The sequence below is a fragment of the Homo sapiens genome, chromosome 11 (assembly GCF_000001405.40).
Source record: "Homo sapiens chromosome 11, GRCh38.p14 Primary Assembly".
In the NCBI taxonomy this organism is placed as follows: domain Eukaryota; kingdom Metazoa; phylum Chordata; class Mammalia; order Primates; family Hominidae; genus Homo; species Homo sapiens.
The window spans coordinates 128768893-128793290 of NC_000011.10; the positions used below are offsets into that span (position 1 = coordinate 128768893).

Below are 24398 nucleotides of genomic sequence, written 5' to 3' on the forward strand. Positions count from 1 at the left end.
AATCCCGTGAGCTCTGGATGTGGGCATCCCTGCCTGTGAGGAGGAGGTCAGCTGCAGAGGCCAGTCCTTCCCTCCAGGCTCGTACTTCCCGGCATCTACCAGGTTCCACCTTTCCAAAATTACAGCCAGCTCTTTCAGTTTTAAAATAGAAAGAACTATATTTAACTAATGGAGTGCCTTAACATGTGTGCCACAAGTTATGTCATTAGGTAAAAATAGCCTCTTTTTCCTAGGTGTTGGTGCTGTTGGTCCCAGAAAATAAAATCATCGTTCAGTCCTTCAGTCCATTGGCTGGACACTCCACCCCAGCTAGCACCAGCAAGCTCAGCTGCCTGCACAAGAAGGGTGTTTACAAACTGCCACGTGTAGAACTGGTGCCAGGTAGAAGGGGCAAGGATGTCCAAATCTTAAGCAAAGTGATTACAGGGCAGGGATTAAACCTGATCTTACCAAAATAACTTTACCAGAGAGGCAAAACTCCTTCCATTTGTAAAAGCATAAATGTAGTTGCCTCTGAAGTCAAAAGGTTAGACATCTCTTTGAGGTAGTCCGAAGGCATCTGCTTGTAGGTCTAAAGGCAGAAATGTTAAGGGCTGCCTCCTGCCTTGGCCCGTGGTGTTTGTTTTCCCTGGGAAGCTGCATCTCACCATATCCCTGGATTACAGCTGCCTCCCTGTGCTCTGGGCCAAATTCAAGAAGGTGTGAGCAAGAGTGAGGCAGCAGACGGGTGGGGCTTGTAGAAATTTCTCTGTACCCTTTAGGACTTAGAAATGACTCCTAAAGCAATTCTAAGTTTGCTCTTCCACAAGCATCTGACCTAACAAAGGAAGAGGAAGAATCACTTCCATTTATTGAGTGCTTTCTAGGTGCCAGGCACCACGTAAATTGCTTTATCTCCATGGCATTACTTAAAACACCTGTCACAGGAGACCAGCTAGTAATGTTTAGCCCAGGTGTATCGTCTCCCTCCTCACTGAAAGCAGACAATGAAACTGTATTAGAACTGACAGGTGGGAATCTCTTTGTACAGCCCAAAGCAAAGCTGAGCCTCACTGGGTCTTCACTCAAATGGTTTCAAACTCCCCTGCTTCAGTCAAACAGCTCCCAGCCTGGGAGGGAAAGCTTGCTGGACTGAAGGGTTTGGGGATCTGAGATTGTCTTTGAACCAACCTTTGGCACCATCTCATTTTGGTCGTCATTTTGGGGAAGGAATCTTGGAAATGGGCAGAAGTGGCCAGACTGCTATGTCGACCCTCCAAACTTTCTTTGATCAGTGTTGAAATGCTTTCAAAAGGAATAGCAAAACATCAGGCTTGGCTGAGCCAAGTTACCTATAGCGCTGGTGGTGAAAATAAAACAAATTCATGTCAAATGATTTTCAAAGCACTTTCAGGCTATGGATTTACTTCATTATTTTAGCTCCGGCTAGATCTTTTAGGTCCTCACACATTTTGGCTTCCTCCAGGCCAGGCTGTGGATATGAGGGGAAGTCTCATTTGGGCAAGTCCACAAATCAAGGCAATAAAATATTAGTGGAATAACCGATTGAATTTATGATGGGATTTAAAGACAAGTATAAATGTGGGCCCTAGTTAATCACTAGCTCCATGTTCAGATGGGAAGAAACTAGGACTAAATCATCCAGGAAATGCATTTGGAAGAGTTTAGCATGATCCAGAGTTGAAGATTTATAATTCATTGTGCTGTAGAGGGAGAGTAATAATATTGTTGCAGAGCCCAAAGCAAGGGAGGAAATAATAAAATAAATAAAATATATGGTGTAAAATTGAATTTGAGGCCTTGGATACTAAAAGTGAGGAACTGGGAGAAGTGAAGAATGAAATAATATGCTACATAATCCAACTCTCCCGAGGATATGTTTCTCTAGAATTCTGAAAAGGTGCAAAATTATTTCCATTTGCCAATGATCCATGCCTAATTGCTTCTGGAGAGTAAAAGAGCAAGAAATGTATCTGAGAGAGAGAGAGGAAGACATACTTGTACAATGACACTTTAGAGGAGCTCCGCTTTCTGGCTTCAGAGCAGTGTAACTCACAGGTGAGGTAAAGCAGGATGGTGAGAAGAGGAAAGGGGCTTTGGGGGAACCCACCTCTTCAGCTTAGTGAAGTCCTATAATGGTTTCTATTGGAACCCCAGCCCAGATACTTACCAGCGATGGGGCTTTGGGCAAAGGACTTAACCTTTTAAGACTCCATTTTGCATCTGTAAAATGGGGATATTAAAAGATTTCCTTGGTAAGTAAAAATAGGGCTCGCGGAGCAGGTGGCACATAGCACCCACCATCTGAGCCGTCACTGCTCACAGGGCATTAGGTTGTTGGAATGACATTCAGCAGCAGGCTGTGACCTGTGAACCCAAACTCTCCTAACTCCTCCCCTTTGCCAGCTCCTCCACCTTCAGCACAACACAGCAGCCACTCTCGTGCATGGGCAGGGCCTGGGCACTTTACAAAGCAGACTACTCGGGCCCTGCCACCCAGATTCTCACACATAAAAACCAAGGTGGAATGGAGAGTCCAAGGACAGTTGGTGGATGCTTGTGTAAAAGTGCTGGGAAACTTGCCTCTGGCTGCCCAGCTGTGAAGCGTGAGCCTTGCTTCTTGCCCCACATCCACTCCTAGTCATTCAATCCTGGTTCCCTGCTTTGCCAGGAGCCTTCACAGACGCTGTAGAATGAGAGGGTGAGTTGCTTGAGGGGTAGCACAGATATTCCTGCCTAATAAATATGTTAAATCAAACAGGCTCATTAGAAGCCGGAGGCTAATGGCCGACTTACAATAAAATGCCGAGTCTCTCCTCCCCCAGGAAGTCTTCCTTGACTCTCCAAATTTTCACTATTCCCTTCCACTTATGAGTCCTCGAACCACCGCCACACAGTCCATTGCTTAGTAGTGGTGTGCTTGCCTACCTGTTTCATGGGAATGAGTATTTCTTGAAGGCAAGCGTCATGTAATTTTCTTCTATGATAAGGATATTTAAGGTGTTTATTGGACCCACTAACCATTGGTTGCCAAGTGAAGAGATGGGCTTCAGACTGTGATGAGTGATAAAAGAGTTCTGCCTACTGTGGAACCTGCTGGAACTCATCACTTGTGCTGAAAGTGCAACATCCCCACCACACACACACACACACACACACACACACACACACACACACACACACACATACACACACTGAGAAGGAGGAGGAGGTATGAGTGTCCTACCATAGAGATGGCCTCAGTGGTTACCTTACCTGTGTTCACTCAAGAGCTAAAATGTTCTCCCCAACGTCATCTCTCATCTTTGGGTATTTAAATATCTAAAATATGTTTTGGGGATGCCCTGGTAGAAATTTCTACACAGCTGTGCTCAAAAGGAGAAAAATCTAGTTTGGGTTTCTGTTCAAGACTAACACCGCTGGGTTTTTCAACTGCACAGATGGAATTGCAGTAAAAGTCTCTCTGTTTCTTTTCTACAGCCATCTGAGGGATCCGTGTTCTTTCATGAAATCATTAATATTCTTAAAATACAGATGGTTCCCGTTTCCAGAGACATTGGTCCCGGGGTCTGTGAAATTGTGTTTATTTTCATTTTGATGCCACCATTTCTCAGGCAAAGGTTCCAACTGCTCTCCAAAACTTTAAAGAGTGCTCTGTCAGGATACGTAGTGAGGCAGCTAAGCACCTCCCTGGAGTGCTAAGTGGTTCAGGCAGCGCCAGATGCCATGGAGCCTGATGAGTGTTCTAGGGGAACCATGTGGAAGGGAGCTCTCCCAGAGAGAAAGAGAAGGGAAAGAAAGAGGGACAAGGGGTGAGGGAGGCTGCCTAGGCTCTCAGGGAGCCTCTACCTTCCTGCAGTCCTTGCTAACAACGTCTTCTCCTCTGCAGACCCCACACTGTGGACACAGGAGCATGTGAGGCAATGGCTGGAGTGGGCCATAAAGGAGTACAGCTTGATGGAGATCGACACATCCTTTTTCCAGAACATGGATGGCAAGGAACTGTGTAAAATGAACAAGGAGGACTTCCTCCGCGCCACCACCCTCTACAACACGGAAGTGCTGTTGTCACACCTCAGTTACCTCAGGGAAAGTAAGTGCCGCCCAAGTACCCAGGGCTGGGAGGAAGCTTGGCATGGAGCCAACCCAGGGAGAGGAAGTCAGTGCTGCCCGTTCGTGTTGGGCAGATGCCGCCGGAGCAGCATCGTGGGGCCTGTAGTGTTGCCAAGGTCACGTGGGCTCCTACAGACCCTGTGAGGGGCAGACCCAATCCTGAAGTGTCAAAGGAAGTAAGACGAGAAATGGAGAAAAGTAGAGAGCTGTGACCTGGAGGGGTCTGGCAGAGGCTGGTTACACTCTTCCCATGAGACCGCCTTTCCAGAAACTATTCCAATTTGAAAATAGATAGAGATGGGTGGTGCCCTGGCTGGTGTTTTCCTAAGTGATTATTTAAAATTCCTCCAGGAAACTCTAGATTCAAGGCTTTTGGATTTAAGGTGTTGAAAATAATTTACATATTAGCTTCCTCTTAATCTTGGGATACTCTGGCACACCCTAACCCCATTTGACAGGGCTGCTATCTGCACACTTCCTTGATAAGGAAGAGCAGCCAAAGGTGCAGGTGTGTTAGGATCCATTGGAGGCTTTCTTCTGGTACAGCCAAGAAAAGGAAAAGAGCTTTGGAAAGGGCGAGCTTAAGAAAGAAAGCAGGCAGTTGTCCAAGAGATTTATCTAGTATGAGGTACTCTAGCACCAAGCGCCCATCAGTCTGATATGAATTTCATTTGATATGAAATATACACAGAGCAGAAGAATGGAATTATTTTAGTCCTGCTGGTAACCTCAGCCTGAGTGCCCTGCTGGGAATCCAGGCCAGGTGGTATATCAATATCAGTGCTACCCCTAAGTATGGAAGGATTGTCCTGGGGCCTGAAAAGATGGTGCTAGGATCACAGGAACACAGGTTTGGGCTCACACTACGTAAGAGCATTCTAGCAGCCCTGTGCAAAGACAGGGCAGCCTTGAGATGCTATTTGTTGTGAATGGCCAAGGCAGCTGCGAGTCTTGCAGGAGTTTAGCTTTGGGCAGGGGCTTGATGATTTTAAGCCCCCTTCGCAAGTTCAGATCCTTAGACAGCAACTCTGGGACCTGCTTTTCCTGGACTGGCTGGCTCTGGGTTGGTGAGCTCTGTTTGCTCGCCATCGTTCTGTGGACCTTTAACTCCCCATCTTTGGAATCCACTGTCCCTTCAGCGACAGTGTTCCTCATGGGGCAGGGGCAACACGTGCTGGCTGGAGAAATGAAAAATCAAAAAACTGGCTTTGGCAGTTTCCACTGGTGCCTCTGTGCTCTCTGGTCACCTTTCCGAGGCGTCTGGTAACTAGTGCGAGAAAGTAGATGATGCAGTATTTGTTAGCTCCGGAGCAATTACCTCATGTCTGAGTCTTGCTGCAACATGAGGTCAGCCCAAGAAACAATTTCAAAAAAGGGGACAATTTTCCACCCAGTTTTTCAGAGCTTTGGATAATTAGCACTTTCTAATTCATATTTTCAGCTTTTAACTGTTTGTGGAATTTTAAAAAATAAGGATCTTTGAACAGAGTCCTGCAGTGATCTAGGCAGGCCAGGGTGGGTGTGTGGAGGTTAGCATGAGAAGGAGAGACCAGCAAAGCAACCTGATTCCAGCAGGAGTTTGCAGGAACCCTAAGCCCTTTCCTTCATTTGCCAGGAGTAGAGAGGACAACAGTAGCATAGACAGCATGCTCTGAACTGTTAGTTAAAGGGCCCAGTGCTTCGAGACTCTTCGGCGGATGCCCTTGTTGGGAGAATGTTCAAGGCATTCTCTCCATGTGGGGAAAGCCCATTCATGCCATATGACCCCGGGGCCCTAACCAGTCCATAAACAGCCCAAGGTCCCCTAGTACTTCCTGCCACCGAACAATGGGAACACAGATGCTGAAGTGAGACAAATGCCTGAGAAGGTGGTCACTGGTCGCCAGTAGAGAGACCTTCTATTGGAGAAGAGCAGATAACAAGGTTGAAGTGGAGGTGCAGAGGATGGCATTTTGGGGGGTATAGCATGGCAAGAAAAAGCAAATTGCTTCTTTCTTTTTAAGAATATTTATAGACAGAAAGTGCCCCCAAATCAATAAAAATATTAGGTTTCCCAAAAGGGACTTATTAGTGGAGCATATTTCCAGAGTGGAGAGGAGGTGGAATCCAGCTTGTATACTGAAGACATTTGAAAATGCAGGGCAGATATCCAGAGTGGAGGATGGTGGCGAACAGTAGTACATCCACAAGATGGGAAGTAGTTGTTCTGCCATTGAAATGATTATTGGGAAACACCATGAGAAGTGCTTAGGATACAATGTTGGGTGGAAAAGCTCATTATAAAGTGGTCTGTGCACTGATAGAAAAACCATGTCTGCCTGCGAAAGCAAAAAATTAAAATAATCGTGTTAAATTAAAAAAAAAAAAAACTTGCCCCAACATGGTATTGAAATATCCTTTTGAGGAACCTAGACTTAAAATGATCCACTGTCAGGCAAAAGGCTTTTAGATTCATGCTGCTTTTTAATTGGTGTCTACCTTGGGGTTCCAGCCTTGGGGACCCTCTAGTGTGAGGTGGTGGCTGGCTGCTAAGCGCCTGCAGGAGGCCATGGGCTGGCGATCGTGTCTGCTCTGTTTCTGCTCTGGATTGCTGGGAACTCCCCCGTGACAACCAGCACTTTAAACGCTTTTAAAGCCTTCAAACACTTTATTGTTTTTCCAGACTGACTTCCAGTGGATGTTCTGTGCTTAGGAGGAAGGCCAGTGCTTGTGGAGAGTTTGAGGCGATGAGTCAAGGCAAGGGGAGAGGGTGCTGATTCTTTGTGCTTTATCATCTTGTCCTTTCATTGGAGAGGAAGGTGGGGCTCAGATATTTCCACTTTAGCAAGAGATGGATGGAAAATAGCTGAGATCCTTCACTCCGGTGGAGGAAGTACTGCAGGGTGAAGGAAAGTTGATAGAGCAGAATCGGGGACCTGAGACTGTGGCTGGTTGGAAGTCAGTAGAGTCCAAGTTGGTGGCACTTCTCTGATCTAATCTTTCTGGGCTTTATAGAAAGTCTAGAAAAAGGAAAACTTCATAGGATAAGAAGCTTTGGCATCAAATTTACATTTCACAAAAGGTGCTTGACTATTTATTCTGGTGGTTTGGGAGGGGAGCTAGACTTTTACATTTTAAATGCAAATGTATTTTCCAGGGTAGAGAAGAAATAGCAGTTCCCTGTGCCCCTACAGACCCTGTCTGATGGCCAGGCATGCTAGGGAGGTGCTTGTTCTTCACACCTGGGCGTGTCAGCTGTGCCAGAGGAGCTGTGTCACACGCCACACAGGCGCCCACCCCTCCCCCCCACCACCACAGGAAATGCAAGGAGGACTGTGATGGCTGGGGTGGCCACGGTTCTTGGGGGTAATTCCCATGAGTCCTGGGAAACTCCAGGGTTTACACCTGTCAATCCCAGCACTTTGGGAGGCCAAGGCGGGTGGATCACCTGAGGCCAGAAGTTGGAGACCAGCCTGGCCAACGTGGTGAAACCCCGTCTCTACTAAACATACAAAAATGAGCCAGGTGTGGTGGTGGGCGCCTGTAATCCTAGCTACTTGGGAGGCTGAGGCAGGAGAGTCGCTTGAATGCGGGAGGGGGAGGCTGCAGTGAGCTGAGATCGCACCACCGCACTCTGGCCTGGGCGATAGACCGAGGCTCTGTCTTCAGAGGAAAAAAGGTTGCCCCCTTGTGGACAACTATCTACAGTACCCATTTTGAAGCTGAACCCACTGAGGCCCAGACAGCTTCAGAAATTGGTTCAAAGGCATCCAGCCGATTGAGAGCACCTGGCATCTCAGACTAGGGCCTCTGGAGTCCCAGTCCCTGGCCTCGCGTTGCCGACGTTCCCCCGGCCCTGGAGACAGCAAGCCAGCCTGCGCCACACAGGCAAGGCAGCCTCACTCCCGGCCTTCCACGTGGGCAGCCCGGCCACTTCCCCCACAGCATTTTCTGTTGTCATTTGTACCAAGAGATAAATGCTTTCCAAAAACTTTCCTGTGGCCTCCTGGAAGGAGGCCGATTAAGCCAAACCTATCACCACGCTAACTTTGTCCTTCTCTGGGCCTGACTGTCGGCCCCACCAGTATCTCTCCCGGACACACCCCGTGTGGCAGAGGAGCCTTCGCAGCAGCTGCTGCGGGAACGAGATTTGTCCCTTCTCAGGCCAAGGCGGGGAAGGACCTCGAAGAAACGGAGGGCGCCGGGCTGGCAGTTCAGGCTCAGGGCCGCTGGGGGGAGTTTGCGCAAGGCTGGGAGCCCCGAGGCCCCGGGGGAGGTGGGGAGGCAGAAAGAAAAAGAGCCTTTTTTAAGTTTTACAAACAAGTTCGTTTTGTATGTCAATCTGGGTCTGACCTGGAAAAAAAAACACTAAGAAACTGCGTCTTCAAACAGTGGCTGCTCAAAAGAATGAAACTGCGCGACCGGGAGACCACGGAAAGGGTGTCTATCTTCATTCCCATTTTTAATTTAAACTTTAATGGAAAACACATTTTGCATTTTCTGGTCTTTCCACCTGCAGCCTCAGATGGTCGGGCAGAGGTTTTGAGTCTGGGCAATTAAGCTGGTGCAATCTTATCACTTCCAGGCCTGGGTTTGACTGGTGAAGGAGAACAGAATGCCAGCTGAACAAAAGGCCAGGTTTCCCTGGACCCAGTAGTCAGCCAGGATTGTTGTTTAAAGATCCCAGAGCCTTGCACCCTCCCGCTCCTGCACACTCAGCCAGAGCTGTTGATATAGCAGTGCAGCCCAGAGAAAAGAGAGACCTGGATTCAATAGGCTGGCTGTGAGGGGGCACTGGTGAATTCTATGGTCACAGCGAGGCAGGAGACAAAGGCTTTGGCACTGGGACGCTTGCGCCCCCTGGCCCAGGTGTCCCCGATGAAAAGCAGGTTAGGTTGAGGGAATGTGAAGCAGCAGAAACCGTGATTGTTGGGGTTCTACCCCACACCTGCAAAGCCTCACACTGCTCACTCCCCTCTCCTTTCAGATCCAGGTACTGTCTCTAGCAGCACATGGATTCAAACATGGAATGGAAAATGATCTTTTCCCCATGCTTGCACTTTGGGAAGGCCATTCTATTCTCAGCAGGAGCTACTTTATGCTTTTTAGAGCAAAAATGCCCTCAATAAATAGATATATGTATATGCATACACACCCATATACAAATATATACATACAAACACATATACAGAAACTTACAAATAACCAAGTAGGCAAATCTTATACTTCAGTTTGAACTGAAGTACAACACAGAGAGAAGTGCAAAAATCATGAAGTGCGCTACGTGAGACATTATCGTGACGTGAATCCACCCACTCCCATAAGCACCTCCCGGGCCAAGGAGTAGAATTTCAGCCCCCTGTACCCTCTCTCCACCCCACAACCGCTTCCTCCACAAAACTAACCACCACCCTGCTTCCCAGCCCCATAGGTGAGTTTTGCCTATTTCTACGATTTAGCCTGGAGGCAGTGGGATCTGCCAGATTGAGGACAGGTTTTGTGAATAGACCACGATGGGGCTCCTGCCTTCTGCACTCTCTGGCTGTGTGATCCTGGGAAAATGATATGACTTCGCTGAGTGTTGCTCCTTTCATCTGTAAAAAGGAATAAGGGAATGCTGGCTCTGTATGGCTTATGCAAGGATTAAGTGAGAAAATAGATGGAAAGCGTCTGGCACACCGTGCATGTTCAGGGAGCACTGCGTCCCCACCACCACCTTCATCATGGCCTGTTTACCCTGATGTGCTGGCATCGGGAAGGTGGGGGAGCTCAGCAGCACAGGCCTGTGGCAGGGTCAGGCCAGAAAGAGCCTCAAGGCAGGAGAAAGCAGTCCAAAGCCACAGAGAGGGAGGCCAGACTCCAGGAGGACCTGCCTGCATCAGAACAAGTTCCTTAAGAAAACAGAGCCTGGGGAACTAATGAAGTAGAAATCGGAGAAGAGGAGGGAATCTAGGTCCCTTGGGAGAGAGGCCAGATGCCCCCAACCAGCCCCTCCTTGGGGAAGGCAGCCTCTCCTTCTAGGAGTGAAACTTGAACCAAGAACAGTCTTTAGGGCAAAATCCTTTTCCTAGGTTGCCATGAAATATACATTTCATGCAAGCTTTGGAGAGGTCAAATGACCCTTTCTCTCAGCTTTCTGGGAGTTTCCTGTGGAATTCATGTGTGCCCAAAGAAGAACTTTCACCAATGGGGAAATTTAATAAATGTGGTTTATCTAAGGTTCGTGCTTTCGGCTACATCTGCACTAATGACTCAGGCAGTTTGCTCCTCGGAGACCATCATTTTTCTTTATTTGCTCCAGCAGTGAGGTTTCAGCCTGAGGGAGAGAACGTCAGGGACGGAGAGGCAAGCATTCTTGGTCCTACTTCTGGGATTTTTTTGTATTCCCTCCGAACATTTGGTTCCATTTCTTCACTTCCTTCCAGTCGTGCCGGATTATTTCTTATTGCAGCAGAACCCATTCATAACTTTAATCAGAGGACAGGACGAATGTTCAGTAAACGCATGTATAAAGAGAACTATTGTATGTAATTGTGACATCTGTGGGAGAAAGGATGTAAAAATAGTAACGATCATAGCTAGCATTTATGGAACACTTATGAGCCAAGGTCCATTCTGAGCACATTGCATGCATTATTTGATTTAATCTTCATAATGCCATTGAGTGGTGTTAGCCCATTTTACAGATGAGAAACTGCTGGCTCAAAGAGATGAGGGAAATCAGTGGAGGGCACAAAGCTAGTCAGTGATAAGAGGCAGGTCTAATTTTAAAGTCTCCTTTGCTTAATAAACATACAGTCGTGCTTTGCTTCATGATGGGGATAGTTCATCTTCATGTGAATACCACAAAATGTACTTACACAAACCCACATAGCATAGCCTACTACACACTGAGGCTGTATGCTACAGCCTGTGGCTCCTAGCTTACTAAGCTGTATAGCATGTTATTGTACTGAATATAGTAGACAACCGTAGCACAATGGCAAGTATTTGTGCATCTAACTTTTAAAAGATACAGTAAAAATACACTATTACCGTTGTCGTATATGTGGTCCATCTTTGCCCAAAACATCATTTTTTGGTGTGTGACTATTAACAGGAACTTGTCCCAGCCTTACTTTGTCATTGGTATTCTTGAACATGGAATAACCAAATGTAGCTGGCTCTTGGATGTTATATTCATGTGACTGTCTCATTTCTAAAATGGCATCCACATAGCCACACTTTGGCATACAGCGGGCTCAATACCACCCCCGTCATCCCCCTCCTTGTTTTCATCTGGAGCTGCTGCAGAGCTAGAACTAACAGTCATATTCTAGGCAATTGGACAATTCTTATAAAATTCTCTTCCTCTGCCGGGTGCGGTGGTAATCCCAGCACTTTGGGAGGCCGAGGCAGGCAGATCACCTGAGACCAGCCTGACCAACATGGAGAAACCCCGTCTCTACTAAAAATACAAAATTAGCCGAGCATGGTGGCACATGCCTGTAATCCCAGCTACTGGGGAAGCTGAGGCAGGAGAATCACTTGAATCTGCGAGGCGGAGGTTGCAGTGAACTGAGATCGCGCCATTGCACTCCAGCCTGGGCAACAAGAGCGAAACTCCGTTTCAAAAAAAATAAATAAATAAATTCTCTTCCTCATCGTCTGGCTTGGATAGTGCACACATTTTCTCTGAGGCACACAACCAAACGCCCACAGCTGGGTGAGGCGGCAACTCCATTTCGGCATCCCTTCCATGACTGGAGACTAAAAATAGGGGTGTGTCTGACAGCCCATTCCCACCCCTGGCACCCAAGCCAGTCCACTCGGCCACAGGGAGCGGGGAAAAGGGTTGTTTAGAAGAATTTTCTTAGCCTCGAATACATGTGTTGAGCTTATGGTATGTTTTATAAAAGCAGATCCCAGCCCTCGTTTCAAGGGCTCTTTAAGATTTCCTTAGGAGAATCTCAAAGAGAATGGCAAAAATGCCTAAGTTTCACAAAATACAACCTTGAATTCACTTTAAACAAAGGAAAAAGTCTAGTTTTAGGAAAGAAGGGAGAATGTGTTTTACATGTAACAACAAATTGCTTTTTCAAAGTGCTGGGTACAGAAGAGGTATGAATTGAAGTTTAATTTGAAAAGATTGGATATCAGCATTCTGAGATTACAGAAAATTCAACGCGTGACTCCTCAGGTTCAGTGCGTGCTCTTAGACATAGGTGAAGGGAAGCAAAAGTTCCTATTGGAATACTACCACTCACCTCCTTCCCAACTCCCATTGCCCCCTCCACCAGTAACATACCTGTGTACCTTACCCTCACCTGTGAAAGGACCCATATGTACATAAACCCAGAAGATACCACAGCAGGAAGGAGTGATACTGGCTTCTCCTCCAGGCCATGGCAAAGTACAAGCTGCAGGCCAAATCTGGCCAAAAGTGGCCCATGGACAAAGCAAAACAAAAACTAAGAAGACTGTGCAACAGAGATTGTAGTTAGCCTATGAAGCCAAAATATTTACTATCTCCTTTTGATAGAAGAAATCTGCCAACCTCTGCTCTAGTTCAAGAAAAAAAATCAAAATCTAGACATGTCAAGTCACTCACCAACTGTCACATGGTGAGTTAATAACAACTGGAATAGACCCGGGTTTACTGATTCTCAATGCTGTGTTCCTATCATGATTATGGCACAGACCACAGCGCTTCAGAACTATGAATATGGCAGCTTAGGGGGCGTGGTGTTTGTTTCCCCAGAGAGCATTTCATTCCAAAGTATTCTGTCTCTTCACTCCATAAAGCTATTACAGGCCTGTATGATTGTCTCCAACCAAATGGATTCCATTCGCTTTTCCTTTCTTCCTAGGAGTCCTCTGTCCCTCTTCCCCTCTCCCCATCTCTTTCCCTTTCTACTCCCTCCTCATGTCATCTCCTACTCTTGATCTCAGAAGAACATTTTGGTTATAACCTGTTTATGTTTTGCCTCTCAGGTTCACTGCTGGCCTATAATACAACCTCCCACACCGACCAATCCTCACGATTGAGTGTCAAAGAAGGTAAGTTTGTTCTTTTGTGCACTTAAAATTTTCTTCTGTACCAGACATGACACAGGCCCATGCTGTTAAGGTTGTTGCAGAAAACCAGCTTGCGTGTTCCACTCAACTTTTCCTAGCATACAAAGACAAGCCAAAATTTTCGCCACTTGTGCTACCAGTTGCAAAAATACAGTAAAGAAAGTTTTACAGTATCTTGTAATAATATCACAAAGATACAACTTGAAGTTGTCACTCCATGCAGGAAAACATGTTACTTTTAGAAAAAAATGAATGCTGCTTACTTTCAAAGTTGAAAGTTGGGAGTTTTCTCTGATGAAAATAATGAAATGAAGAGTTCAAGGATTCCAGCATGTCTACCTTTAAAGGTTTTTTTCCTAAGAAATTTTAGCAGCCGGTCATGCTGGCTCACACCTGTAATCCCAGCGCTTTGGGGGGCCGAAGTGGGTGGATCACTTGGGGTCAGGAGTTCGAAGCCCAGCCTGGCCAGCATGGCAAAACCACCATCTCAGCTAAAAAATACAAAAATTAGCCAGGTGTGGTGGCAGGTACCTGTAATTCCAGCTACTCAGGAGGCTGAGACATGAGAATCGCTTGGACCCAGGAGGCAGAGGCTGCAATGAGCCGAGTTCGCGCCACTGCACTCCAGCCTGGGCGACAGAGCAAGACTCTGTCTCAAAAAAAATTTTAGCGATGTCAATTCATTTTTAAAGTGGTGGCTTAAGGGTTTGGTCTGGTTTGGTTTGGTTTTGCTGAGAAAGAAAACTTCCTCGGCAAATGATTTTTGCCAGTGAAGATTTTAGTACACGTCACAATAGAATTCCTCAGCGTCTTTATGAAACATCGTGAGGAGTGGTTCAGATACTGTTAGATTTCAGGCATTGAAACAAGTGAATAATTCATAGTACCTGGTTTAAAGGAGGAAAAGATGTGAACAAATAATTATTAGGAACCAGAGAGAGACTGGAAAAAATATTTGCGCGGCATAGCAAAAATTCCACAGAGGAGGGGACTTTTGAATAGGAGCTTGAAGAATAATAAGAGTGTGGCAGGCACTCTGTCCTCCTTGGCTCGCTGTCTGTCCCCAGTTTTTCTTTAACTCACCCTCCCCAAAATATATAAGAAAGGCAGAAGTTCTCAGGATCAGTTACATATAGCACAGCACTGCAAAACCTTTCAGAGAAACAAAGGCTCTTCTAAGGGAAGGACCATTTGGCTTAAAATCCGCATGGGGTGTGAAGGAAACAGAGAGCCAAAGGCACTAGCTGGCTGTCTTGCCCAAGGTTACAACTTTGATCACACAGCACTTTGTGTTTCCTGTTAACAATTTATAATTTAATAATGACCAGAACATTTAGTGGAAGAATTATACAACATAATGAATCCGCTTTTAAACATTTGTGTTTTTCATTTGTTTCCTTCTCTCCTATCCCACCCTGAGCCAGTCCTGTTTCTGCCACTGTTTTTCCTTTCCAAATCAGATTTCTTGAGTTTTGTCATGAACGCTGAATTTCTATGGATTCATTCTACATTGTGAGTCAGATTTCACTTTTTGACCTATTTTAATATGCTGTTGCAAATGTCTGTAAGAGAGAAAATACATTTTAGTGGCAAACGCATTAGATTGAAGGTCAGGGCACCTTTGGCTTCCTGTGAGAAAACCACTTCAGGCCCTGAACCTCAGTTTCCTGCAGAACGAAAGAGAAGAACTCTGTCAGCAAGAGGCCAGCCCTGACTCTGGAGATCTTGGCCTCTAAGGAGATGACAGGAGCACTCACATTGCGAGGGCTCAAGAGCCACTGTCCTTTGATATGTTCTACATACTGAGTTTTATTTCATTTGTGGATAGGGATCCACTTTTTGGAAGGAAGGAAAAAAGAAGGGGAAAAATGACTAGAGGGAGAGAGAGAGAGGGAAGGAAGGGAAGGGAAGGAAGATAGGGAGGGAGAAAAGCAAGGCTATAAGGAAGGAAGGGAGGGAAGGAGGAAGGGAGGGATGGGAGGAACCCTAACCTCTGAACTGCTGAGTTCGGATTTTTGTAAGTTTCTCCAACACTTCAGGCTACAACCTGCTACCAACATCAGAATTAGCCAGTGAGGCTCTGAAGCAGAGCTAATGAAATATTTTCTGATATTGGGCTTCAGATATAGGGTTTAGTTTAGAAACTGGTTTAGCCAAGTTGAAATGTGTTGCTAACCATCTCCTCCTCCTCCTCCTCCTCCTCCTCCTCCTCCTCCTCCTCCTCCTCCTGCTGTCTTATTGTTCAGCCGTGTCCTCTACCTGCCATACACATTTCCTTCCCTTGGCCCTTTTGTGTTTAGGGAGGACATTTGTAACACTGCTGGCTCATTCAGGCTTATTGCAGGAGCAGCTCCCTCTTGCTGGGTAGCAACCCCTCTTCTGAAATGAATTAACTGTAGTATCCAGGCAAACACACGCTGCCAGGACCTCATTCAGGTGGTGCCGGCATTTATCTCCCAACATCGGGCCTGGCCTCTAGAGACGATTAAGCCTGTGCTTTGCAGGTGCATCTTTTGTCCCCAGTAAAGCTCTCCACTTGAGCTGTCTTGCTCCTCTATGCCTTCCCCTTGTGAGGTGGTCTGAATCTGTCTGAACGACCCATCAAGCCACAAAACAAAGTACATTAGCAAGACAAAGCTAAGCAAGCCCTCCCTCTATCCTCCCTGCCTCCTCCCCACCTCTCACTGGCTCTCCTGCTCTGCTCTAATCACTATCTATTAGCTATTAGAAGACATCAGGCAACCTTGGCTCCATCTTCTTTGAATAAGACACACACAGCCCCAAACAAACCCAGAGTTCATCAAGAGCACCAGAGCTGTGTGTGTGTGTGTGTGTGTCTGTGTGTGAGTGCACACTGGTGCAGTCCACAAAGGGCAGGTGCTGGCATCAAGCACAAAGCAAGGAAGTTGAGGAGATGCTGTCTATTAATGTCTTCAAAGCACTTATCAAATTAGAATGGCTTTTTGCTTTAAAATTGTATAATCACCCTTCCAGCTTGTCTCTTGAAAATGGCTGCAATCTCTAGGGGTTATTTGTGCCCAGGAAGTAAGAGTAGATTTTAAAAATTAATTTAGAACAATCTTTAAGCCCCTTTAAATTAAATATTCTATGGACATGGATTGGATCCAGCTAGAGCAGTTATGCTCTACCTTTAGTTTATCAAGGCTAAGGCACTTAAAAAAATAAACTAGGATAAAAGCTATTGTTATCCATTTACAATAGCAGCCACAACTGTCATCTGTAAAGGGTTTTGGAATATATCAGACACCTCCACATGCTTTGCTTTGGAGCCTAGCACTGGGTCTTTGAAGTAGATATTATTATCTCTATTTTGCAGACAAAGAAAGTGGGGTTCAGCACTATTAAGTGACTCACTGAAGGGTACACAGCTACTAGATGGCAGAGCAAGGACTCAAACCAGGTTAGAGGATTAGACTAGAACCCCCTCACTTTCTGACAAATACAGCCTTTCTCTTCCAGCTGCCATTCTGCAAAAGCAATACCTAGCCTAAATGTAACTTGGGCAAAGATGTGAATGTTTTGCATTACTTGATTTCTGTCCATGCAGTTTTCCCACTGTCAGCTCCATCTCCATCCCTAAACTTTTCTCTCTTTCCAAAGATGAACCAATAAACAACTTATGCTTGGCACCAGCCCTTAGTTCTGACAGCACAGAGAATCACCAGGAGATCTTTCAAAATACTGACTCTAGGACAAACATTGCATGATTGCACTCATAGGAGGTAACTGTCAACTTTGTAGAGCCAGAAGGTACATGGTGGTTACCAGGAGCGGCAAGGAGTGGAAATAGGGTGTTAGTGTTTAATGGGTAAGAGTTTCAATTTGGGAAGATGAAAAGGTTCTGGAGCTGGATGGTGGTAATCGTTGCATAGCATTGTGAATGTACTTAATGCCACTAAATTGTACACTTAAAATGGTTAAAATGGTAAGTTTTATGTTACATATTTTACTAAAATTTTGTAAATGCAAAAATTAAAATAAAAAAATACTGATGCCCAAGTGCCAAAAAATGATGCATTAATTCAGAACCTCCAAGGGTGACTCCTGGGCATTGGAAATGTTTTAGAGCTCTCCGGGTTATTCATATAAGCCAAGCTGCAGCCAAGCTAGAGAAGCCTGCTTTATAGAACAGAGACAAACTAGAGAGAAATGAGGCCCATGTTAGAGCTACTCCAGATTTTCTTGGAGACACACTGGGCGGTTGTCTGGACCCAGATTGTCCTAGAAAAGGAATAGCAGGCCCTACTGGTATATTGATAAAGGTATAGGTAAGTGAAGAGACTGTACGATCTTGATTAGTTTTTTGTCATTGTCATTGATGACTGATTTTATTGATGCATGATGTTACTGATTTAGACAACTGTACGTTCGTACATCTCAGAAATTTCTTTCTGACGTGTCCTCATTCAGTCCTCTAAAAAGTAGATATGGTGTTGGTAACGTGATTTTATAGGAAGGATACTGGGGTTGCAGAAGTTAAGTGGCCTTTTCAAGTGTGTAAGAGTCCTGGAGCCAGGGCTACTGACTTTCCACACCTTGTTCTCTCCCGTCCTCCAGGCTGCAGATGTGCGTGTGTCTGCCCTGGTCCCAGGTCAGAGCTTCCCTTTGTTTTTCTGGGCAAACCCTGCCGGAGGCCTTCCCAGCACACTCAGCTGGCCCAGCAGTGTGCAACAATCAGCACATCTCTTCCTCAGAGCTTCTTTGCATGCCTAAGCCCTCATTTCCTTAGTTCCTCATGCTGAATCTGTTTAAATACCTCTGACTTTCCAAAAGACAGAGGATATTGAGTTCCTTGTTTATTAACTCCTGGAACTCATCAACCGGCCAAGGGCCTGTGGAGCACTGAGCTTCTAGCCCCAGCCTGGAGCCTTTCAGGACTGCCATTGAACACGGAAACTGAAAACCACAGCCCCACTGCAAGCGGAATGGCCATCTCCAGCCATTGCCTTGGCTGATGGATAAAAAGTCTGTCGGCTTGCATGCTAAGTATGGAAAAGAGAGGGGAGAAACTACCTTTCTGTGTCCCTTAGAGTGAAATGCCTGGCTGGTGCTGAAGCCCATGTTAACGAGAGGCTGGCTTCTCTCCAGGAGAGTCCTAGGTGGCAGGAGCCATGCACATGGTAACAACAGCATTTTGGCAGCCTGGTAGGGTTTGCCAAGCACGTTCCTATCCATTATCCCGTTTGTGCCCTCTGGTGCCATCACCATGAGATGAGAAGGCTGGTAGTATTATTATCCCCCTTCTATAGATAATGAAAACAAGGCACAGAGAGATTTCAGGGTTCCTTAGAAGGCACCCAGGTCATGAAGCAGAACAAGACTCAAGTCCGGGCCTTTGGTGTGTTCTGTCCTTCCTCTAGGCTGCTTCTGGAATCATTATCTCAGCATACTTGATTCAAGCATCTGACAACATCTTAAGGATTCTTTAATACTCTCAATTTACCGAAGGTGGGCACTGGTCTCCTATTTCAGCATTATAGCATACTGATTAAAAACTTGGGCTCTGGACTCAGACTGTGACCTGGACAAGGTGCTTACATTTTTCTGCCTCAGTTTTCTCATGTATAAATGAGGATAATTGTAGTGCCCCTTCAGGGATAATGTAAAACTCATAAATCAGCACAGTTTCTGACACACCAATAAGTGCTCAATAAAAGTTATAATAAGGATAGTAAATTGTTATTCTAATTTATTATAGTACAAATTCTAATAGTAATTAACATTATTATTGAAAGCTAATTACAATTTTTTTTTTTTTTTTTGAGATGGAGTCTCGCTCTGTCGCTCAGGCTGGAGTGCGGTGGCGTGATCTCGGCTCACTGCAAGCTCCACCTCCCGGGTTCACGCCATTCTCCTGCCTCAGCCTCCTGAGTAGCTGGGACTACAGGTGCCCGCCACCACGCCCAGCTAATTTTTTTTTGTATTTTTTAGTAGAGACGGGGTTTCACCACGTTAGCCAGGATGGTCTCGACCTCCTGACCTCATGATCTGCCCGCCTCGGCCTCCTAATTACAGTATCCCGCTAATTACAGTATTTTTGAGGGTTTACCAGATGTTAACACCGTACCAAGGGTCGTGAAGGATACTATACATAGATAGCCAAGCTGCTTTAAAACTTATTCGGGGGCCGGGCATGGTGGTTCATGCCTGTAATCCCTGCACTTTGGGAGGCCAAGGTGGGCAGACCACCTGAGGTCAGAAGTTCAAGACCAGCTTGGCCAACATGGTGAAACCCCGTCTCTACTAAAAATAAAAAATTAGTCAGGTGTGGTGGCATGTGCCTGTAGTCCCAGCTACCCGGGAGGCTGAAGCAGGAGAATTGCTTGAACCCGGGAGGCGGAGGTTGCAGTGAGCGAAGATCACACCACTGCACTCCAGCCTGGGTGACAGAGTGAGACTCTGTCTCAAAAAACAAAGCAAAAAAACAACTATTTAGGGAGACACACCTAGGAAATATGAAGGAAATATAAAACTGCATGTAATCGAAAAACAACAATGCATGCTACACACAAGATATTTTCTGAGTGTAATGAAGAGATGGAAAATCATTAATGCTCAAGCTGAACATCTCCTCCAAATCCCTTATAGAACAGGAGAGATCTGAGGCCAGAGAAGGTGTGGACCCAGCCATGGTCACACAGGGAGTGAAGACAAATATATACAATTATTCCTATGTAGGCAGATATTATAGATACATGATACCTTAGTCAGGAATTGACCTAAATTCTGTGATTCATGCTCTCCTCCATTCATTCATTTCTTTCTTATGGAGAATCTTCTCTGCATAGAATACCAGGCTGAGCCCTAAAACCATGGTGAACACAGCACACTACCTACCCTCAAGCAGGTTCTAGTCAAACAGAGAGACAGACAGCTAAGTAAGTAAGGAACTACTGTGCTTTAGAGTGAGGGCAATGCACGTATATTACCACGTCTTTCAATTTTCCCCTGCATTTAGCTCCTGTGTGGATGTCCTTTATGATTTTAGAGGTCATAGTAAAAGATGGAGGCCTCTAGCAAGCTGCAGCATGGCAGGGCTGGAAATAGATGTTGAAGCAAAGGGAAGGAGGAAGGCACCAAGGAAACCAGCGTGTTTGTTGGGGTGGGTGTGTGAGTTTTCAAGTTGGGTTTTGGAGACAGGAGCCCAGGTGAGCCCTTGCAGGAATAACTGAGGCCTGGGTGTTTGATGTGGGTTTCAGGAAGACACCCTGGGGTAGAACCTGTGCACCATGGCTTCCTGGTACCTGGAAAACCGGGTGCAGTTGGATGTTTCATTGTGAGACAGGAAGCTCAGCGAAGGAGCGGAGAGCCAGGGACTTGTGTCAAAATCATTTGGCCGGGGAGGGCGGAGTAGGTGGGCATGGAGCTGAAATAAGACTGACCATGAATTCATGATTGTTAAAGCAGGGTGATGGGGCCTCAGGGTTCATTAGACTTTCCTCTCTACTTGTATATATCTTAGAAATTCTCCGTAACTCAAAAAATGCCTCAAGATATCTTTGCCTTATTTCTCCGGGCGAAGAGTTTCCCGAGGAGGGCATCTTTGTCCCTCGCGATATGCACTGCCTGTGTCAGGCTGATGCGCTCCCGGGTGCAGTACTTGGGAAGGCGGGCATTTGGCAGCCTTGTGTGTGTGTCTGTGCAGGAGGGCGTGAGCTGGTGCTCAGTGTGGAGGTGGGCTGTGTGTGTTGCCTTGTAGAGTGCAGCGTATGGGGGCTAGGTCTGGAACATGTGTACCCAAAGGAAAAGGCCTGTAATACTGTGAGGTAATCTCCTGTTATTTTTAGGGAGTAAATAACATCTCTCATGCAGCAGGTTGTGTGGCCCCACAGGCCCCATCTACGTCAGCTCACACACACTTCAAATTGGAGGGTATCGCGGCCTCACAGGAGAGCCTGTGAAGAACATTGTCATTATATGTTCTTCCTTTATGATGAAATGTGCCTAAGCCATTCTTAGCAAAAGCAGGGATGATTGCTGGATGTGTGTGTGTGTGTGCATGCATGCGTGTGTGTGTGTGTGTGTGTGTGTGTGCACGCGTGCTGTTTCTGTGGTCCAAAGGCAAGATTTATGATTATGGGATAGACAGTAGCTTGCTCTCTCTATTTTATTTTTTAAAAACTGTTTTCCTTTGAAATTCCTGAGTTAATGTTCTGTCTGCTTTCTATCTGACCCTCTTCGGAGAGTTGCATTTTTTTTTTTTTCCACGAGAGAGAGATTAAGAGAGAGAGAGACAGAGAGAGAGAGAGAAAGAACGAGGGTGACAGAGAGAAACAGAGATCGGGGGAGGAGGGAGAGCGAGAGAACTGGAAACAAAGACTCGTTGTCTCTAAGCTGGAGCAGGCAGGAAACCCCAATCCCTCGGGAACTTAGCCAGCCCGCCCTGTCCTGGAGTCAGACTCCAGCTCTCTGAATTCAATTTGACAGCTTGTCTGGGACACTTTCTAAGTAACCATTATCCTTCCTTTCTCTAAGTAAAAGGACTGTTATTTCTTTTCGTGGGTGTGCTGTGCGAACTGCTATTGCACACGTGTGGCTCACACAGTGACTAGGACACACTTTCCTCAAATTATTGGAAACAGCCCGTTTCCTAAGACAAGTGTAAATTTGTTCCAGGATAATAAGGCAAAAGACTGAGTATCAGTCCACTGCCTTATTAGAGGTGGGCCTATTCCATTAGAGGAGGAATTTTGTGTATGTAGGTTTTACTTCTTTGAGGATTCTTTTGAAATAGACACAAACAACAATATCTCCCAATGATCATTCTCCCCAGTTTCTGTGTTAATTGATGGATTAATTTAATGAAACGCATCACCATACATCCCACTGTGGAGGGAACTCAGATGTCCTCAAAGCTACCAGAGGTTGTGCAGGCCACGGGCACAACTAGGGGTGACCACCTAGAGTTCAAAGGAGCCTGTCTTCTGCCTGGGAACAGGGCCATCCTGGGGTTTCTTTTAATTACTCAGACCCAGTTGAGTCACCACCATAACCTGAGGGACTGTGAGGTGATCACCTGCCCTTCAATGTGTTCCTATTGGAAGACCATCCCGATTCAGCTCTGTGGGACCGCTAGAGACAAGTTCCAGAACTGTCTGGATCCCCCTGGAGCGTAGAGGTGTGATAGTTTTGCTCAGTAATACAGCTTTGCCCATTTAGGTTCTGACCCAAAGACCTGTCCTTCAAACATGACTTGGTTCCTGTCTACTCTATCTTCAACCACACTTTGGAATAATGTTTCCCCATTCTTCCTTTGCCGGGTATACCTTTCATCCGTCTCAGTCCCCACCCCCAGTCCATATTCTAGGAAACCACACTCACCCTTTAGGGCCGTGGTCAGATCAGACAGCATCACCTCATTACGGTCTTGTGCACCCTTCCCCAGGATGCTTTGCTTATACCCACTGTTTTACCAATACAGCATTCAATAGATTCTAGCCCAGCAGTCTTCTGTCTTGTGAGACGGGAAGCGTCTTGAAGGTAGGGACTATTGGATGGATGGATGAAAATAATAGGCAAAGTACCTTAAACTGTTCCCCAGCAGTCTGGTGTAGAACTAACCCTTTGAGATGTTTCTACAAGGTGGATGTTTTGGCTCTATCCACTGCAGCTGCTGGTGTGGCATTGCCTTTCCTCCCTACCCTGCCCTAAATTTCCATTGCATGGGACCCCAGGGTGGTTCCTTGGAAGCTGTGATCAGTCCCATCCCTGAACAAGGAAGCAAAACTGATAAAGAGCAGATTTCAATCACAAGATGATGGCACCAGAGCCCCTTCTTGGCCCAACCACCGCAGGATCCTGCTGCCAACTGGACTCCACAGGCCCTTCAGGTCTCTGCCCATCAGGAGGAGGCTGAGGACACGCCAAGCCGAGGAAAGGTGACGCTGCAGGGAGAGTGTACCTTCTGCTCAATTCCACCTTCCTTTCTTCACTTATGCCCCAGACAGCCACAATAAGAGCTAACATTTGTTAAGCACCTACTATGTGCCAAGAAATTTCCTATTCATTTCACATTTATCCTTCATAAAACCTTGTTAAGTTGGCACTATGATTATTCCCATTTTACCTGAATCACAGGTATGATGTTAAGCCTGAATCACAAAGCTAGTATGAAACAGAAACAGAAGAGAGCCTGTTCCTGTAGTCCCCTCCCCACCTAGGCAATGGCAAGGGCTCCAAAATGACCCTTTCCTACTTCATCTACCACCCCCATCATGCATTTCCCCCAAGTAGCTGATGTTGTCTAGTTGCTAAGATATATTCATCTATTGACTCCTGCTACCATCTAAAAAATCAGGAGCCTGACCCAGTGCAATCAATCTTATTTGCATTTCAAGAAGCAATCTAGCAATTTAGAATTTTAGAAATTCCACTATAAAGAGGTTGTTTGCCGGGTGGGATGGGGCGGTGGTAATGGAGCTGCAAAGTATATAAAAGAAACATGCTTTGTCCACGCTTATCAGTCAAATTCTTTCTTTCTATCCATCCCTGGAGAGAGAGAGGGAGAGGAAGCTTCTTCCATGCCACATGGAGACAAACGGGCTTCAGACATCTTCTAGTGAAAGACCAACGTATAGGAAGCATCATTTGTGGTGGTTTCACAGATTTTTTTTCATTGTTATGCTTTATAATTTATATAATTATACACATATCCTTTTGTGTTTAATACTACATTTAAGAGGATAAAGGAAAACAAGAGATTTAGAAAACAAAGTATTATATTGAGTAACACTCTATTGATGAGAATTTCAATAAACTGAATTTAAGAAACCATCCAGGCACAGTGGCTCACACCTGTAATCCCAGCACTTTGGAAACCCAAGGTGAGAGGATCACTTGAGCCCAGGAGTTCAAGATCAGCCCTGGCAACACAACTAGACCCCATATGTACAAAAAATAAACAAAAGTAGCCAGGTGTAGTGGTGTGTTCCTATAGTCCCAGCTACTCCAGAGGCTCAGGTGGGAGTATTGCTCGAGCCCGGGAGATCGAGGCTGCCATGAGCCGGGATTGCACCACTGCACTCCAGCCTGGGCAACAGAACAAGACCTTGTTCTCAAAAACAAAGCAAAATAAGAGTGGGGGTGGATAAATTCAATAAATTTAATAAATTTATTATTTGAGGGAAATAAAGTTTCCCTCAAATAATTTCATGGGTCTATCAGTTTCATGGGTAATCCTCTGCCTCTGTAAGCTTCATAAACCCATGGTTCCCAAGGAGAAGAAGGAA

At 45.9% G+C, this 24398-nt stretch overlaps 1 protein-coding gene across 9 annotated transcripts in view, besides 3 other annotated features; it reads left to right on the forward strand.

Annotated features, from left to right (window-relative positions):
* Positions 1–24398, forward strand: part of FLI1 (Fli-1 proto-oncogene, ETS transcription factor) — a 128136-nt gene that overhangs the window by 83761 nt on the left and 19977 nt on the right. For 8 of the 9 annotated variants that reach the window (NM_001440370.1, NM_001440371.1, NM_001440369.1 and 5 more), the window contains 2 exons: positions 3890–4093; positions 13066–13131. In NM_001440370.1, the coding sequence (NP_001427299.1) occupies positions 3890–4093; positions 13066–13131 (270 nt within the window). The remainder of the gene's footprint in view (positions 1–3889; positions 4094–13065; positions 13132–24398) is intronic. The other variant, NM_001271012.2, reaches the window with a different exon arrangement.
* Positions 7836–8441: an enhancer, noted in NCBI's record as "H3K4me1 hESC enhancer chr11:128646623-128647228 (GRCh37/hg19 assembly coordinates)". NCBI's record gives its function as "activates a minimal SCP1, AML or CMV promoter by ChIP-STARR-seq in naive H9 embryonic stem cells {active_cell/tissue: H9 hESC(naive)}" and the evidence as "EXISTENCE:reporter gene assay evidence [ECO:0000049][PMID:30033119]".
* Positions 15216–15763: an enhancer, noted in NCBI's record as "OCT4-NANOG hESC enhancer chr11:128654003-128654550 (GRCh37/hg19 assembly coordinates)". NCBI's record gives its function as "activates a minimal SCP1, AML or CMV promoter by ChIP-STARR-seq in naive and primed H9 embryonic stem cells {active_cell/tissue: H9 hESC(naive and primed)}" and the evidence as "EXISTENCE:reporter gene assay evidence [ECO:0000049][PMID:30033119]".
* Positions 15764–16310: an enhancer, noted in NCBI's record as "OCT4-NANOG hESC enhancer chr11:128654551-128655097 (GRCh37/hg19 assembly coordinates)". NCBI's record gives its function as "activates a minimal SCP1, AML or CMV promoter by ChIP-STARR-seq in naive and primed H9 embryonic stem cells {active_cell/tissue: H9 hESC(naive and primed)}" and the evidence as "EXISTENCE:reporter gene assay evidence [ECO:0000049][PMID:30033119]".